The sequence below is a fragment of the Homo sapiens genome, chromosome 11, assembly GCF_000001405.40.
Source record: "Homo sapiens chromosome 11, GRCh38.p14 Primary Assembly".
In the NCBI taxonomy this organism is placed as follows: Eukaryota; Metazoa; Chordata; class Mammalia; order Primates; family Hominidae; genus Homo; species Homo sapiens.
This window is the reverse complement of record NC_000011.10, coordinates 94,213,251-94,229,835: the sequence shown is the minus strand read 5'-3', so window position 1 is coordinate 94,229,835 and position 16,585 is coordinate 94,213,251. Positions and strand designations below refer to the sequence as shown.

Below are 16,585 nucleotides of genomic sequence, written 5' to 3'. Positions count from 1 at the left end.
GGAAACTTACAATCATGGTGGAAGGGGAAGCAAACACATCCTTCTTCACATGGCAGCAGCAAGAGGTGCAGAGGGAATTGGGGGGAAAGTCCCTGATAAAACCATCAGATCTCTTGCGAACTCACTCACTATCAGAGTAACAGCATGGAGGTAACCACCCCCATGATTCAATTACCTCCCACTGGGTCCCTCCCATGACATGTGAGGATTATGGGAACTACAGATGAACTACATTTGGAACTACAGATCGCAAATGTCCCCTCCTTTGTGAGCCTTCTCTGTGGCCCCCAGGTAGTCAGAAAATCCCATTCTCTGTATTGTTGTGTCACCTTGTTTGTATATATAAGGATCCAACTCCATCGCTCTTCTCTTGACTTGAGCCATGATGGCTCGTGACCTGGGACCATACTTTATTCTCCTGGAATCTCCAGCAGCTAGAACAGAGTAGGCTCTTAATCACTGATTATTGAATAAAAGATTTCTGGCAGGGAATCATCTGAATTAATGACACAGCCCTGGCTTGCCCTGCCATGGAGATGTACCACAGTTTCTACATTCCAACCTGGTGAGAAGCTGATCAAATATACATTTTAAGCATAATTAATATAGAAAAAGAAAGAAAATGCCAAGTGTTGATGAGTATGTGAAGGAACTGCAACTTTCATCGACTGCTGGTGGGCTGTATAAATTGGTACAATCTCTTTGGAAAACAGCTCAGCCATATCTCCTAAAGCTGAACATATGTATACCCTATGACCCAGCATTTCACTCCTAGGTGTGTAGCCAATAAAAATGCGTATATCTACTCACCAAATGACATGTTCTGGAATGTTGAAAGCAATACTATTTATAATAGTCACAGACTAGTCACTGCCCAAAAGCCCATCAAGAGTAGAACGAATAAATTATAGTATAGGCTACAGCAATAAAAATGAACTATGACTACACACAACAATGTGGATGGACCTCACAACTATAATGTTGAGTGAAAGAAGTTAGACAGGAAAGTGTCTATATTGTTTTATTCTATCTATATAAACTACAAAACAGTCAAGTTGGAGTCAGAATAGTGACTTCCCTTGGAGGTGAATAATGCCAAAATAGGATAAAAGAGTTTTCCTGAGTGCAGATAATGTTTCTTCATCTGACAGTTGGCTGTAAGAATGCATTTGTTTGTGAAAATATATTAAGTCGGAATTTTGACTTATGTTTCTTTTGCTGTGTGTATATTTTGATAAGAAATTGTTTTAAATATTAGTATCCTCAAACCACAAAAGTCTCAAAGAACTTGAGACTTCACTGTGCCTAGATAGGTCTTGCATATGGTAAGTTCCAGAAAAAAATAATTTGGAAAATGTTTATTTAGCCATTGTTATGTTTAAGACCCAAGCAATCCAAAGATGAATAGGACAAAATCCCTGACCTCAAGCAACTGATAATATTGTTTAGAATAAAGCAAGATCTCCGATTATAACATGGCTAGAATGCTGTCAGTGGGATATGGGAAAGGATGATAACAGCTAGCACAAAGTACACAGGTACTATGTGCTTTATGCATATTAATATTTCATTTTCATAGTATCCCTAAATATAGATATTACTATTATTCCCATTATATAGATGAAGATATTGGGGCATGGAGAGATTGAGTGCTTTGCATCATCTTCTCTGTTCCTCTCCAACTTACTATCCTCTAATATTCAAGCTCCTCTTTGCTCTGTTTTCATCACAGTAGTCTCAGTTTCTCTAGGTGGGTCCCCTACCTCCTGCCCAGGACTTTGCAGACACTATTTCCTCTGCTGGAACCATTCTCCCTCCTCTAAGCCCTGTTATCGTCCACTCATTTATTAGCTCTCTACAAAAACATCACTTCCTCAGGGACTTCCAGATAGGTACAATCTGACTGTTATAGGTTCTCAAACACCATATGCTTACTACCTTCACAGCATGTCTCAGCTGAAAATTTACATATTTTTAGTGAGATGATTTTATTAAGACTTTCTTTATCCCTAGACTATAAGCCTCATGAGAGCAGGAACCATGCATGTTTACCACTGTTATCTCAGTAGCTAGCATAGTAGATACATAATAAATATGTGCTGAGTAAACGAGTTAAGTATCCACCATGGCCAATCACTATATTTTTAAGTGATACAAAATTTAGAGCAAGAATTAAATATAAATGACATGATATCATCTGGTACAATTTTCATTAATTAAGTGTAATCACTGCTTATTCTTCAAAGCCAAGCAGAACATGTTCTTCTAACTTACTCTGAGCCTTTTCATTAGAATAATAAATTTTTAGAAATATTTAGAAACACATTCAGAGGTCTGTCTACAGCCTGTTTTCCACTTTCCTGTGGTTTTCTTTCTTGCTCTGGTAGGAAAGAGAGTCTTTGAGTTGCCTGCTTAAATGTTCTCAAGGGAAAGGCCTTAGTTGTCCTGCCAACCCCTTTGATCTTTCCTCAAGGCAGAAGCAGAGAGATAAGACTGTGGGGAAAAAGATTGAAAGCATAGCATATGCCTATATATCAGCAGTGTGCATCCCAATAATTGTGTTTTTCCAGTTATTGGTTTTCCCAACAGTAGACTGGGCTACCATTCTAGAAACTTTTTCTCCCATAAGATGGCTTAAAATTCCCAGAGAAATAGTATCTTCAGTAAACTCTTGGGTTTCCAGAGGTTATAACTGGGTCTCTGACTCTGCTTTCTTGATTTTAAATGTAAGTTTTTTGCTGCAATCAAACAGAATATAATAACATTCTCAAAGAGAGACAAAAAAGCAGTTGTCCACTGTAACTGTGCTATGTTAGGAATTTTATCTGATCTAAGAGTCAAAGGCTATTCCTGGTGTCAACCAAAGTGTCTTCTGCTACATCATCAAAGCTTTTTATGATGGGTTTCAAGTTTGTAGGGTACTGATGCTACAAGTTCATCACCTTTTCCACATGTGAATACACCTTCCTGTAATCACCCAATCTTCCAGGGAAGCAAAAAATAAAAATAAATAAATAAATAAAAAATTCCATTAGAACATTCCTTCGCCCTGTGCAGTACCTGAAATGTGAATTTCCAACTAGAAGCAAAAAGTTAAGATCTATAGTTTTATCCCAGCATCCTTCCAAAGGGCTCAATATTTGGGAAACCAACACGAAAAACAGTGCAAAGGTGCCACCAGTCCAAGTGAGCATAAATGCTTCCCTAAGGGATTCTTGGAAGATCCTTCCAGTCATCAAGGCTGTGCAGATAAGATGCCCACCTCAGCCCCAGTGATCACTCAAGTATCTGCCTGGTAGGGGCTTAATACAAAATCTGTCCTCCAATTCCAAACGCCTGCTTCATAGGCAGGGGCCTAGGAGATTTAGCAGCTTTTGTAGGGGGGAACTTGAGGCCAGATAATAATCGATATCCAGTCACCTTATAGGGAGCCAATACATTTTTGAGAGAGAAAAATGTAATAGTATCTTACTAGGGAACCTCCTAAGGCCCTCCTTCTTAGCAATCATACTAGAACAGTAAAACAAGAACAAACAAAAATTCATAAGATTAAAACAAATCTCCCCAACTACTCCCAGAGAACAAACACTGACATTTATCCCAAGTAGGCCTTTTTTTGCCCTACTCTTTGAGAACATAATGGGATCTTTGAGTGGTGGTTTCTTTCTTTGAGGAGAGTCCTCACTCACATAAATTGCTGTTAAGTTAAGCGCTCTGCCAATCTCTGAATCTGTGGCTCAGCATTAGGACAGATGAAGAGAATCTAACTCTTTAAGAATACTTGCTATCTGTCCAGTGTTCACATCTGCAGTTTTACTTTTACCTCACAACTACCTGAATTAGAATGGAAGCCATGAGGCACATATTTCTGTCTAGTTTTTCCACTGCCATATCCCTGGCACCTACAATAGTATCTGGCAAGTAGAAGATGCTCAATAGAAACATGAATAAATGCAAGCATATTATTATGGATACCATTATTCCTGATTTTCAGTTAAAAAACTGAATCTCAAAGAAATTATGAAACATATTCAAAGTCACAGGTTTTGTGAGTAGCAGAGGCCTTTCTGATGCCAACTTTTATGCTCCTTCAACTCTGCCTTTCAAGGCTCATTCTTCAATTTCCCTATCCAAGAAAGCTTCTTTTCTCAATGTTTGTCTTCCTTATCTTTCTCCTCCTTTTTCCCCTCCTTCTTACAAGCTACACCACACTTATAGCCAGTTTATTCTTTTCTTTCTCCTGTGCTTGTTCATCTGCGCAAAGAGGGGAATAACCTCCACTCTTATGGAGAAAGAAACCTCCTTATGACAATAAGGAAGAGAGAGGTCTGAGCTGTAAAGGTGCTGTACCTACTGCTGAAAACATGGACTGCTCCTAAATGTGTGATTTTTTGTGTGTGTAGTCACCCATCCAGAGAAACGCTTGTTAGACCTCAATGCCAGACCAAGGTTTCTCCTCTTGAACTACTGGTTTGGTTTCCTTTTGAAGATAGTCTGATTCTTCTTGCTGATTCTTTTTCTGTCGTCATTTGCTCACTACAAACCTCAACGGTGGGAACTTTACAATGTGTGCTTCTCCTCACCAAAATTGGTAGCCTTTCCTTCAAAATTCACATCCACTTGGATTCTCAGAATGTGACCTTACTAAGAAATAGGGTCTTTGCAAAATGTAATTAAACTAAGAAGAGGTCATACATGATTAGAGTGGGCTCTAAATCAATGGCTGGTGTCCTTACAAGAAGAAAAACAGAAACAGACAGAAATACAGGAAAGAAGGCTGTATGACGATAGAGGCGGAGACTGGGATGATGCAGCTGCAAGCCAAGGAATGCCTGGGATTGCCAGTGACCACCAGAAGTTAGGAAGAGGCATAGCAGGATTCTTCCCTAGAGCCCTCAGAGGAAGCATGGCTTGCCTGGTACCTTGATTTTGGACTTCTAGCCTCCAGAACTGTGACAGAATAAATTTAAGCCACTCCATTTGTGGTACTTTGATATGGCAGTCCTATAAAATTAATACAGGGAGTCTGAAACATCTTGTTATGCCAGAAAGCAAGGAATCTATCAAAAACCAGTAGGACCTTTTCAAAAAAACTCAGGAACTAAGTTGAGGAGCCTCCCACTGGCCAAAGATGAAACAGCTTGAACAACAATAAGGATAAAAACTAAAATGAATTTAAACATGTTAAGTATGTTTAAATTCATGATTTATAATAATACAGAATTGGTCATTGATCATCTTTGGAGGGTGCTCTAAACCCTACATATTATTTGAAAACTGGCAAATAAAAGGAAATAAGCATATTTCCTTTTTTCTTCTGGGTAACAAATAGTTAATGAAATGAAGCTTCTCTATATAAAAACAAAGAAGGAACGATAGAATAAGAGCATCAACATTTGTAACCCCTAAGGAATTAACAGATCTAAGTCATGATCAGCAACAGCTGCTGGCATCACAGAAAGAGAAACGGTCGGAACTTATGTGCTTCCTGAAGGAAATACTCACCACCACTTATGAAATGGTCTGCACACACACACACACACACACACACACAAATGTGAATCTGATTAAGTCTCTAGATTTACCTACCTATTTGCAAAAAACATAGAGAACAGTGAAACATGTTCACCATGACAAATGAAAAATGGCATCATGAAGATGAGTCAGCAACATCAAGGCTGTGGGAAATCCTATAGGAATAACAACTTGTTTTCTTCAACAAATAATTGCAAGGAGAGGAAAACAGATGAAGGGTGTATTACTAGATAAAAAAGACATATTATTCATAGAAATGAAAAACAATGAATGGCTCTTAATTGAACCTGATTCAAACAAGCTCTATCTATCTATCTATCTATCTATCTATCTATCTATCTATCTAGCTAGCTAGCTAGCTAGCTATCTATCTATCTTCTATCTATCTATCATTTATCTATCATCTATCTATATAAAGAAAAAATTCATGGACAGAATATTTTAAATTTAAAAATTATGATTAACATTTAGGTAAAATAAATTCATTATAGCTTTTTTGTATTTCTTTCAGAAAGACATACTGAAATACCTATGGATGAAATTACGTCTGAAATTTTCTTCACAATAATCCATGGGGTGGGAGGCAGTATAAATGAAACAAGACTGGCCATGAGATGAGAACTGTTGAATCTGGGGGGTGGTTACATAGGGGTTCATCATACCATTCTCTCTATTTCTCTACATGTTTTAAATTTTTGTCATAAACAGTTAAAACTTATATTTGTACCACAGTCAGGATTGGCTTAGGAAAATAGGGTACACCAGAGGCTGCAGGAGGGTAGGCATTGGTGAGGTCAACTATGAGAAGTCGTGAGCCTGGAGAAAGAGCCAGGCTGACATGGGAGTTGGGACTCAAGTATAGAACTTGCATCCTGGGGTCACTTGCCTAATCTTTTCCTCCTATGCTCACACATTTTTTCCTGCACATCCACTTGCCAAACCACCCTTACTCCCAAGCTTTATCTTCCCAAGCTATGTACCCAATAACCTTCTAGTGGCACTCACCAATCCCCCATTCACTAACTCTGTTTCCTTCTCTTTCTCAATGTTTGAGTACAGAGACATGAGGCAGTGGGTAGGCCTATATCTGCTCAAGAATGAACAAGTGGTCTTTGTTGTGTTTAAATACTGTTGAGTTTCTAGAAGTCAGTAAACCTCTTACTGGCAGGTAGAGACTTCTAAATTCCCTCACAGTTCCTATCCCAGCTATAAACATTCAGTTAATATTTCATCTGTAATATTTTCAAATCTGACTTTCATAGTATGAAATAAATCTCTGGTACATTTAGAGAATTGATGTTTTCCAACTTGATGGCAAAACATTTCTGGTTGCTTCACTTTTTCCATCGAGTAAGGAGTAGCCCTTGTTCTTCTCTGCTTCATATGGACTATTTCCATAAATCCTCAAACAGAAGGTACTATGGAATTCCAAGACAATCTAATGTTGGTTTAATGCAAACCTGGAGACAAGAGTGAGTGAACTAAACTAATTGTGTTGTAATCCCATAGCTTGGCTCCTTTAAGTCACATACACAGTCTAAACCATTATTTACAATAAATTTGCCTTAAGATAGCTTATTCAGAAATATTATAGAGGCAAAGGAAAGGAAAAGTCAGAATTAGCTCTTACTAAGCACCTTCAATGTGCCAGGCATGATGGTGTTTATCATTACTCATATGCATTATGTCATTTAGTACTACAAGGGTTTAAAGAAGAGTAAATGAGTTGTAAAGCAATAAGCACAGAAGCTGGTTCACAGAAAATATCAAAAAAGTAGTGCTCTAAAACAAAATAAGAATAGTTTTTATTATTAACTGTGGAATAGGTATTGTTACCCTAATTTTATAGATAAGAAAGCAGGGGCTCAGAGCCACTCACTAGCTTTCCTAAGATCACACAGCTAATAAGTAGTAGAGCCAGGGCTTGAACCAAGTATAAGGCATATACTTGAATCAAAGTATGAAGCTTATGTGGGTCAGAGCTCAACCAAAGGGAGATATATAGAGAGATGTTAATGAAAGCAATTGGGTTATGCAATTATGGGGACTGGTAAGACAAGCTGGAAATCTGTAGGTCAGGAATGAACTCTTGGGCACAGGCCGATGCTGCTATCCACAGGCAGAATGTCCTCTTCTTCAAGGAATCCTCAGCTCTGCTCTTAAGAATATTTAGCTGAATCAGGCTCACCCAGGTTATCTAGGATAATCAACTGATTATGGATCTTAATCACATCTATACAATATGTTCACAGCAATACCTAGATTAGTGTTTGATGGAATAACTGGGGCTGTAGACTAGCCAAGTTAACATATCAGAAAACCATCACAAAGTTCTTCCCACTTTGCTTTCTAAATATAAATTTAGAGCAGGAAGTTACCCTTAGGCCTTATCAACTCTAACTTCCAGTTTAGAGGAGAGAGAAATGAGGCTCAGAGTGGTGGAATGGCTTGGCCAAGCTGGTACCAATGACAGAGCTGGTACCAATGCCCAGGCCTCCTGGCCCTCAGCACAGTGCTCTTCCCATAATAGCAAATGCATGAGCTCACTCAACAAGGATTTGCAGTGTCCATGCTGCACCTTGTGGGGCACAAGAGATATGATGTAGTGTATGATCAATGCTGTAATAGGTGTGTGTAGTGCACAGTAGAGGCAGAAAGCAGGCCAATTCTACCTTGCAGAGGAGTAGGGTCAGAAAGGGCCTCAGGATAGAAGAAAAGCTGCGATTTGGAAAATGTGCTGATATTGGCCAAGCAGTCAGCGAGCAGACAGCCATCACTGAAAGAGGAAACAATGGGAGCAGAGGCCTTAAACAGGATTTGTTTGAGGTAAGAAGAGAAAGGTCTGGCCACAAGGAAAGCACAGACCTTTTCACATTACAGTATAAGCAATAAACTAGCTGAGGCTCACCCAGGCATGCTGTTCTGGGCCCTGCTGGGCCCTGACTTTATCTTGACAACCACTGCTGCGCACTAACATATAAAAAAAGAGGTAAACATGTATCTCAGTTGTTAAATATAGAGGACAATTGGGAACTCTGGCAACTCAGCTAGACTCATCCAGCTCTGAAGCAAAATCTCACCATTCTCCAGTGTTCATGATTAGGAAGAGCCAAACCTTCACCATAACAGGACGTGTCAGCACTGTGTCTCCGGGGATTTTTCTCTGCCTCAGGCATTGTCTGGGCCTCTAGCTGGAGTGGTCTAAGGATTGAAGGATCACTGTTCTGTTGGATGGAATCCTTTTATCTGGTGGATAAGACTTCCTCTGTGATGTGGTGGAGTGACATTTACTACCCTCTGACAAAGGGGGACAGTGAGGGCAGTCCTGCTGCAGCCAAAATGTGCAGGGAACAGTTCTCTGAAGCAACTAAACATCTTGAATAAATTTAAGCTGGCTCTAATACTGCTTCTACGTAAAAGACTGGAGGGCAACAGGACCTTTGAGAGTTTGGAGAGGTATACTCCCAGGGGTAGGACAAAGGGCATATGGGGCTCCTGCATGGGAAAGAACTCAGCATTTAAGTCCATCATATACTAGCAGTGGGATCTCTCTGAGCCTGCAAGGAAAATGAAACAATATAAAACCCTGACTCCAGGGTTGCTGCAAGGGCATTGGGAGGTAATGCAAGGACAAATGTCCAAATGGTATGTGGAAAATGTTTGTGGAATTTCAAAATCATGAAAAATCTATACTACACGTCAGACCCTAACTGTTGCAGGAAGTCAGGGACCTTGAACAGAAGGACCGGCTGAAGCCATGGCAGAAGAACATAAATTGTGAAGATTTCATGGACATTTATTAGTTCCCCAAATTAATATTTTTATAATTTCTTATGCCTGTCTTTACTGAAATCTCTGAACATAAATTGTGAAGATTTCATGGACATTTATCACTTCCCCAATCAATACTCTTATAATTTCCTATTCCTGTCTTTACTTAAATCTCTTAGTCCCATCATCTTTGTAAGCTGAGGATGTATGTCGCCTCAGGATCCTGTGATGATTGCGTTATCTGCACAAATTGTTTGTAAAGCATGTGTGTTTGAACAATAAGAAATCTGGGCACCTTGAAAAGAACAGGATAACAGTGATTTTCGGGGAACAAGGGAGATAACCATAAGGTCTGACTGCCTGTGGGGCCGGGCAGAACAGAGTCACATTTCTCTTCTTACAGAAAGCGAATAGGAGAAATATCGCTGAATTCTTTTTATCAGCAAGGAATAGCCTTGGGAAAAGAATGCACTCCCAGGGGGAGGTCTCTAAATGGCCACTCTGGGAGTGTCTGTCTTATGCAGTTGAAGATAAGGGATGAAATATGCTCTGGTCTCCTGCAGCACCCTCAGGCTTGCTAGGATTAGGAAATTCCAGCCTGGCAAATTCTAGTCAGACCGGTTGTATGCTCTCCAACCCCGTTTCCTGTTAAGATGTTTATCAATGACAATGTGTGCCCAGAGATACATGGACCTTCATCAGTAATTCTAGTTTCACCCTGGTCTTGTGATCTCACTCTGCCTCTCTGCCCTTGTGACCTTTTATTGCCCTCTGAAGCATATGATCTCTGTGACCCACTCCCTATTCATACCCCCCTCCCCTTTTAAAATCCCTAATAAAAACTTGCTGGTTTTGCAGTTTAGGGGGCATCATGGAACCTGCTGACATGTGATGTCACCCCCAGAGACCCAGCTGTAAAATTTCTCTCTTTTGTACTCTCTCTCTTTATTTCTCAGACCAGCCAACACTTAGGGAAAATAGAAAAGAACCTATGTTGAAATATTGGGGGCTGGTTCTTCTGATACCTAACTCCCCACAGTTAAACTTAGTTAGACATACAGTAAGAGAATGTTCAAAAGGGGATTAAAGCTACCAAAAGTCTTCTCTGAACCCATCCCCCATTTCCCATACCAAATAAATTAGTTTCTCCAGCTAGGTAATCCCATAGCATCCCAGTACATCATCAACATAACACTGACCAGACTTTTTAATACTTGCTGGCTAATTGTTGGGCTTCCTTGATGGACTGTGAGTTCCATGAGTGCAGGGTCCATATTTGTCTTGTTCCCTACTGCATTCCCAGGGGCTAGGATAGGTTTAGCCCATGGTAAGTGCTCAATATTTGTCAAATGACAGATGGTAGGAGGGAGTGGGCACCCCCAGTTGCTTTGCCTTCATCTTCTGCACCCTTGGCCTGGCTTCCAGCATAAGATTTGGGAAGAGCATCCAAGGGAGCCAAAATCAAGTTATGGAAGACCTAGACCCAGCTTTGCCTCCAAGTCACCCAATAAGACCTATGGTCTGACTTCTATATGATCTGGTCATTTACGGTCTGACTGGGGCAGAGGGTAAGGAAGAGATGACTGGAACACAGCTTCTCATGAGCAAGTTATAAATGTGTGGTATATTGATTACCTAAGCCCATCAGGCAGAGCCTAGGATAGCTGGAGCTCACAGGTTTGTCACCTCCAGCCAGAAGTGGCTTCAAGTATTTATCCCAGGAGGCCAGGTAAATATTCTCATGCATAACATAATATAGAGAGAAATAAGTTGGGAAGCACTGTATTGGATGAATACAGATATGGTCCCCGGCCTACAGCACTACTAGTCCTCGCTTAGGAGGAACTGGGCATTTGGAGGCTGAAAAGGACTCTCTAACAGCAAAGCTAACCTGAGAAAATTGAGCTGCCCAGAAAAAAAACATTAGAGGAGAGGGCCCATGGGATCTGTCTGTGGTGCTGAATCAGCTCCCAGCAAGTTGAGCCCATCTCCTCTCTTACTTGGCCCTGACTTCTGCTATTTTGATCTTTTCTATTTTTACTGGTCTTGGAACAATGATGTTGATGTCATCTCATTAGGCCACTACAAGCAATCACAGCAAATTCATTTGTGACCCAGCCCAAATATCCACTGTGCCAATAACATTCATCACATCTGAGGTTCTCTCTACCCTCAGCCAGTCAGGAATCTGCCCCTTCCCAGCTGTCCTCCTCTGGACTGTATGTCCTGCAGATTAACAGTTTAAAATTTGGTTACTAAAGATTCAAGGGAAAAACAGCCAAGGAGATTGCTGAATTGTGTGAGGGAAGATAAGTTGTGCATGACAAAATATGCCTCTCTGAACACTAGCCTGAGCTCTAAGGGAGAGAGACCCAGTCATGTATGGAGTCTGCCAGTATTATTTAGGGTAGGCTAGGTTATGCTGTGGCAACCAACAATCCCAAAATCTTCTTGGCTGACCACAGTGAAAGTTAAGTTCTGGCTCAAGCAAAGTCTTCTGCAGGACCAGATAGCTTCCTAGAGAAAATTTCCTCCGTATGTTGACTCATGATTCTAGGCTATTTTTGTCTTACAGCATCTTCATATCAAAAAGTGCTTCTGGAAGTTCTAGCCAGAGAAATCTGGCAAGAGAAAGAAATAAAAGGCATTCAAATAGCAAAAGAAGAAGTGAAACTATCTCTCTTCACTAATGATATGATTATATGCCTAGAAAACCCTAAAGACTCTGCTAAAAGGCTTTTGGAACTCATAAAGGACTTCAGTAAAGTTTCAGGATACAAAACCAATGTTCAAAACTCAGGAACATTTCTATACACCAATAACATTTACGCTGAGAGCCAAATCAAGAACACAATCCCATTTATAATAGCCACACAAAAAATAAAATACCCAGGAATACCTCTAACCAAGGAAGTGAAAGATCTCTACAAGAAAAAACTATAAAACAATGCTAAAAGAAATCACAGATGACACAAACAAATGGAAAAACATTCCATGCTCATAGATTGGAAGAATTAATGTGGCCATACCACTCAAAGCAATCTACAGATTTAATGTTATTCCTATCACACTACAAATGTCATTTTCTCACAAAACTAGAAAAAACTATTCTAAAATTCATAAGGACCCAAAATAGTGACCAAATAACCAAAGCAATCCTAAGCAAAGAGAACAAAGCCCTAGGCATCACATTATCCAACTTCAAACTAACTATAAAGCTACTGGTACAAAAACAGACACATAAACAACTGGAACAAAATAGAGAACCCAGAAATAAAGCTGTGTACTTACAGCCATCTTATCTTCAACAAAGTTGACAAAAATAGGCAGTGGGGAAATGACTCCCTATTTAATAAATGGTTCTGTGATAGCTGTCTAGCCATATGCAGAAGAGTGAAATTGGATCCCTTTCACTTATACAAAAATTAACTCAGGATGAATTAAAGATTTAAGTGTTAGACTGTAAACTGTAAGAATCCTAAAAGAAAACCCACGAAACACCAATCTAGACTTTGGCCTTGAGAAATAATTTATGACTAAGTCCTCAAAAGCAATTGCAACAACAAAAAATTGACAGGTGAGACCCAATTAAACAAAAGAGCTTCTGCACAGCAAAAGAAACTATTAACAGAGTAATCTGTGACCTATGGAATGGGAGAAAATATTTGCAAAATATGCATCCAACAAAGGTCTAATATCCAGAATGTATAATGAACTTAAACAATTGAACAAGCAAAAAAACAAATTACCCCATTAAAAAATGGGCAAAACACATGACCAGACACTTCTCAAACAAGATATACAAGTGGCCAACAAACCTATGCAAAAAAGTTCATCATCACTAATCATCAGAGAAATGCAAATCAAGACCGCAATGAGATAACATCTCACACCATTCAGAATGATTATTATTTTAAAAATAAAAAATAGCAGATTCTGTCAAGGCTGCAGAGAAAAGGGAATGCCTATACGTTGTTGGTGGGAATGTAAATTAGTTCAGCCACTGTGGATAGCAGGTTGGCGATTTCTCAAAGAACTTAAAACAGAACTACCATTTGACCCTGCAATCCCATACTGGGTATATACTCAAAGAAAAACAAAACATTCTACCAAAAAGATACATGCAAATGTATACGCATTGCAGCACTATGCCCAATAGCAAAGACATGGAATAAATCCTGGTGCCCATCAATGGTGGATTGGATAAAGAAAACATGCTACATATACACCAAGGAATACTACGCAGCCATAAAAGAGAATGAAATAATGTATTTTGCAACATGGATGCAGATGGAGGCCATTATCCTAAGTGAATTAACGCAGGAACAGAAAACCAAATACCACATGTTCTCACTTATAAGTGGGAGCTAAATATTAGGTACTCATAGACAAAAAGATGAAAACAACAGACACTGGGGACAATTAGAGGGGGAAGGGAAAGGGGAGGGAACCATTGAAAAACTAACTATTGGGTACTATGCTCAGTACTTGGGTGATGGGATTAATTGTACTCCAAACCTCAGCATCACACAATGCAAACTTGCACAGGTACCACCAAATCTAAAATAAAAGTTGAATTTTTTTAAAGTGCTTCCATGTGTTAAAAGCTGTAGCAAGGGAAGAGGGAAAACTGGTGAGTTGACCACTAAGACTTAAGCACTTGGTCCAAAAGCAACACACATCCCTTTTGTTCTCATTTTATTGGCTATATCTGGTAACACAAACATAGCCAACTTTAAGAGGGCAAGGAAGCACAGTCTTACTTATCTGGACATAGAGGAGAACCACACATTGGCACCCATTGGCAGCGTCTACCACATTGGCACTGGGACTTGGCGTGATGTATTTAAGTCAGATATACCCTGTTCGAGTCCCAGCTCTGCCACTTGCAGGGACAAATAACTCAATCTTGCTGAGTTATTTTTTCTTTTTGTGTAAAATGGAGACGACACCTGTTCCTGTTGAGACTCAAATGAGCTAATGTAATTGCAAGTGTTTTGAGAACTGTAAGCACTAGCTATTAATTGTTAAGATTATCAGAAGCCCTTGCAAAATTTAATAGAAGAGGGAGCTGAGGTTTCTAAATAGAGAAATGACAAAGTACAAAAATACCCTCAGGGGAAACATTTCTAGCAGTTAGGACTAGAGAAGGAATTCATTTTTCATCCGTTCTTAGTCCTCACTGTCTTATATAGCTATTTTTTGTTCTTCTTTTATTTATGAATTGTTGATCGACTCATCATGTACATGTTTAAGGTTTCAGGGACAATGAATTGCATCTCTCTTTTCTATCTAAGTTTGGAATCAATTGAAAAATAGAAGTCAAGCAGAGGGAAAATAAAATGTAAATTTTGTTAGTAATAAAGCTGATATTGGAAAACATAGCATTAGTGTATGCAACGGTGGGTTTCTTAATACTAAGTACTAGAATTAAACAGATCCTCTCAAATCATTTCAATATAATGCAAGTGTGTTTAAAGAAATGTGTGCAAAGAGCTATGGAAACAGGGCAAATTACTCCTCAGCTCTGTGGTGCCAACCACAAAATAAGGATGGATTAGAATGTCAGTCCACCATCCATGGCTGTGCAATTGTGTACTGCACAACTCTAGAGGATATTATAGCCTATGTGCTATTCCCCCTTCCCTCCAACAACAAGTTGAGTAAAACACAGCTTGAATGACTGCACATAGAATAACTGCATGAGAAGAATAGACAACCTTTAGGGCGTGTAAACCACTTTGAAGATCTAATGAAATACAGGGATAACACTATCTGTAGAAAGATTCACAAACTCAGTGTAGAATTTCACAAATAATTTCAGGGGTGACACAAACTGTCAAAAGCTCATCTTTGAAGAGCCAATTAAGAATTGCTTCAGAAAATGATCTCCAAAACCCTTTATAGCTCTGATAGTCCATAATTCTGGATTGCATGGTTTACCTGGCAACAATCTGGGGAAAATGTATGAATGATAAGGTTAAAAAAAAGATAAACTTCAAAACACAATGCACGCATCAGCACAGAGCACAAATGGCCCAAGCCTAAAAAGCTCAGGCAAAAATCTACAGTAGTTACTAGGATAGGCTTTTGAAATTATGGATAGCTTCATTTCTCTCTCTTTTGACATTTAGAAATTGCTGTGTTATTTTTATAATGTTTAAAAAGAAAAAAGAAAGAGATAAACAACCCCTGTGGTTTCTGTGCCATTGGCATTTCTTTGAGAGTAGACGTTGTTACTGCAGGGGAGGTAAGATTTCCATGACTTCCTGGCTTACCATTTCAGTTGACTCTCCAGAGGTCACGGTCAGTGAGACTCACCTGAGTCCCAGCCCCTGGCCTGGTTTTACTTCTGAAATCACATTCAGAAGAAAGTTAGACCAGCAGGGCTATGTGAGAGGCTGACTTTAAATGAGCTTTGAAGTTTCCTTCCAAGATGCGGCGGACCCTGTAAAGACACAGTTCGGTGTATATTAAGCTTTTCAATTACTTTACTCTGAACGAAGGTGCCTCTTCCCTCTCCATTCCCTTCAGTTAACATATTATGGGATGATAACACAATATCTCAAATGAGGCTTTTAAAAGACTTCACTTTTACTCTGAAGAACATTCTCATCTTTTCGTGGGAAGCAACTACTTTTTATTTCCCAGGGACGTAGGAACACCGAGGAGGTAGAACAGAGGGCACACAATCAGAGGCATGGGAAAATGGGAGGGATGAGAACATGGACAAGGAGACCGATATTCTCTCCTCTGAAGGACTTCCCTGTTCTGAGAGCTTCCAAAAAGTGAGAAGGCAGGATAAAAGCCACAGTAACCTGCTGGGAGACCTCCCAAGGAAATTAAAGTCTTCCAATCCTTGGTAGTTTAGACTAGGCTAAGCAGACATTTTATATGTGTTTAATTGGTGCCTTCCATCATGTGAAATGGTTTAAATCTGTTGTTCTTGGTGCAGTGTGGTGGCTCATGCCTATAATCCCAGCACTTTGGGAAACTAAGGCAGGAGGATTTCTTGAGTCCAGGAGTTCGAGACCAGCCTGGGCAAAATACTGAGACTCTGCCTTCACAAGAAAAGTTAGCAAGGCATGGTGGTGCATGCCTGTAGGTCTAGCTACTTGGGAGGCTTAGGTGGGAGGATCGCTTAAGCCCAGGAGTTGAGGCTGCAGTGAGTTGTGATCACACCAGTGCATGCCAGCCTGGGAGACAGAGCAAGCCCCTGCCCCCATCACACATAAAAATTAATTGTTCTCAAGCTTCAGGATCATCTGGATGATTAAAA

At 39.7% G+C, this 16,585-nt stretch overlaps 1 long non-coding RNA gene across 2 annotated transcripts in view; it reads right to left on the bottom strand.

Annotated features, from left to right (window-relative positions):
- The window catches only part of LOC105369435 (uncharacterized), an 84,813-nt gene that overhangs the window by 52,386 nt on the left and 15,842 nt on the right, over positions 1-16,585 (bottom strand). For both annotated transcript variants that reach the window (XR_947901.3, XR_947903.3), the window contains exon 3: positions 15,585-15,754. This is a non-coding gene — a long non-coding RNA (uncharacterized LOC105369435). The remainder of the gene's footprint in view (positions 1-15,584; positions 15,755-16,585) is intronic.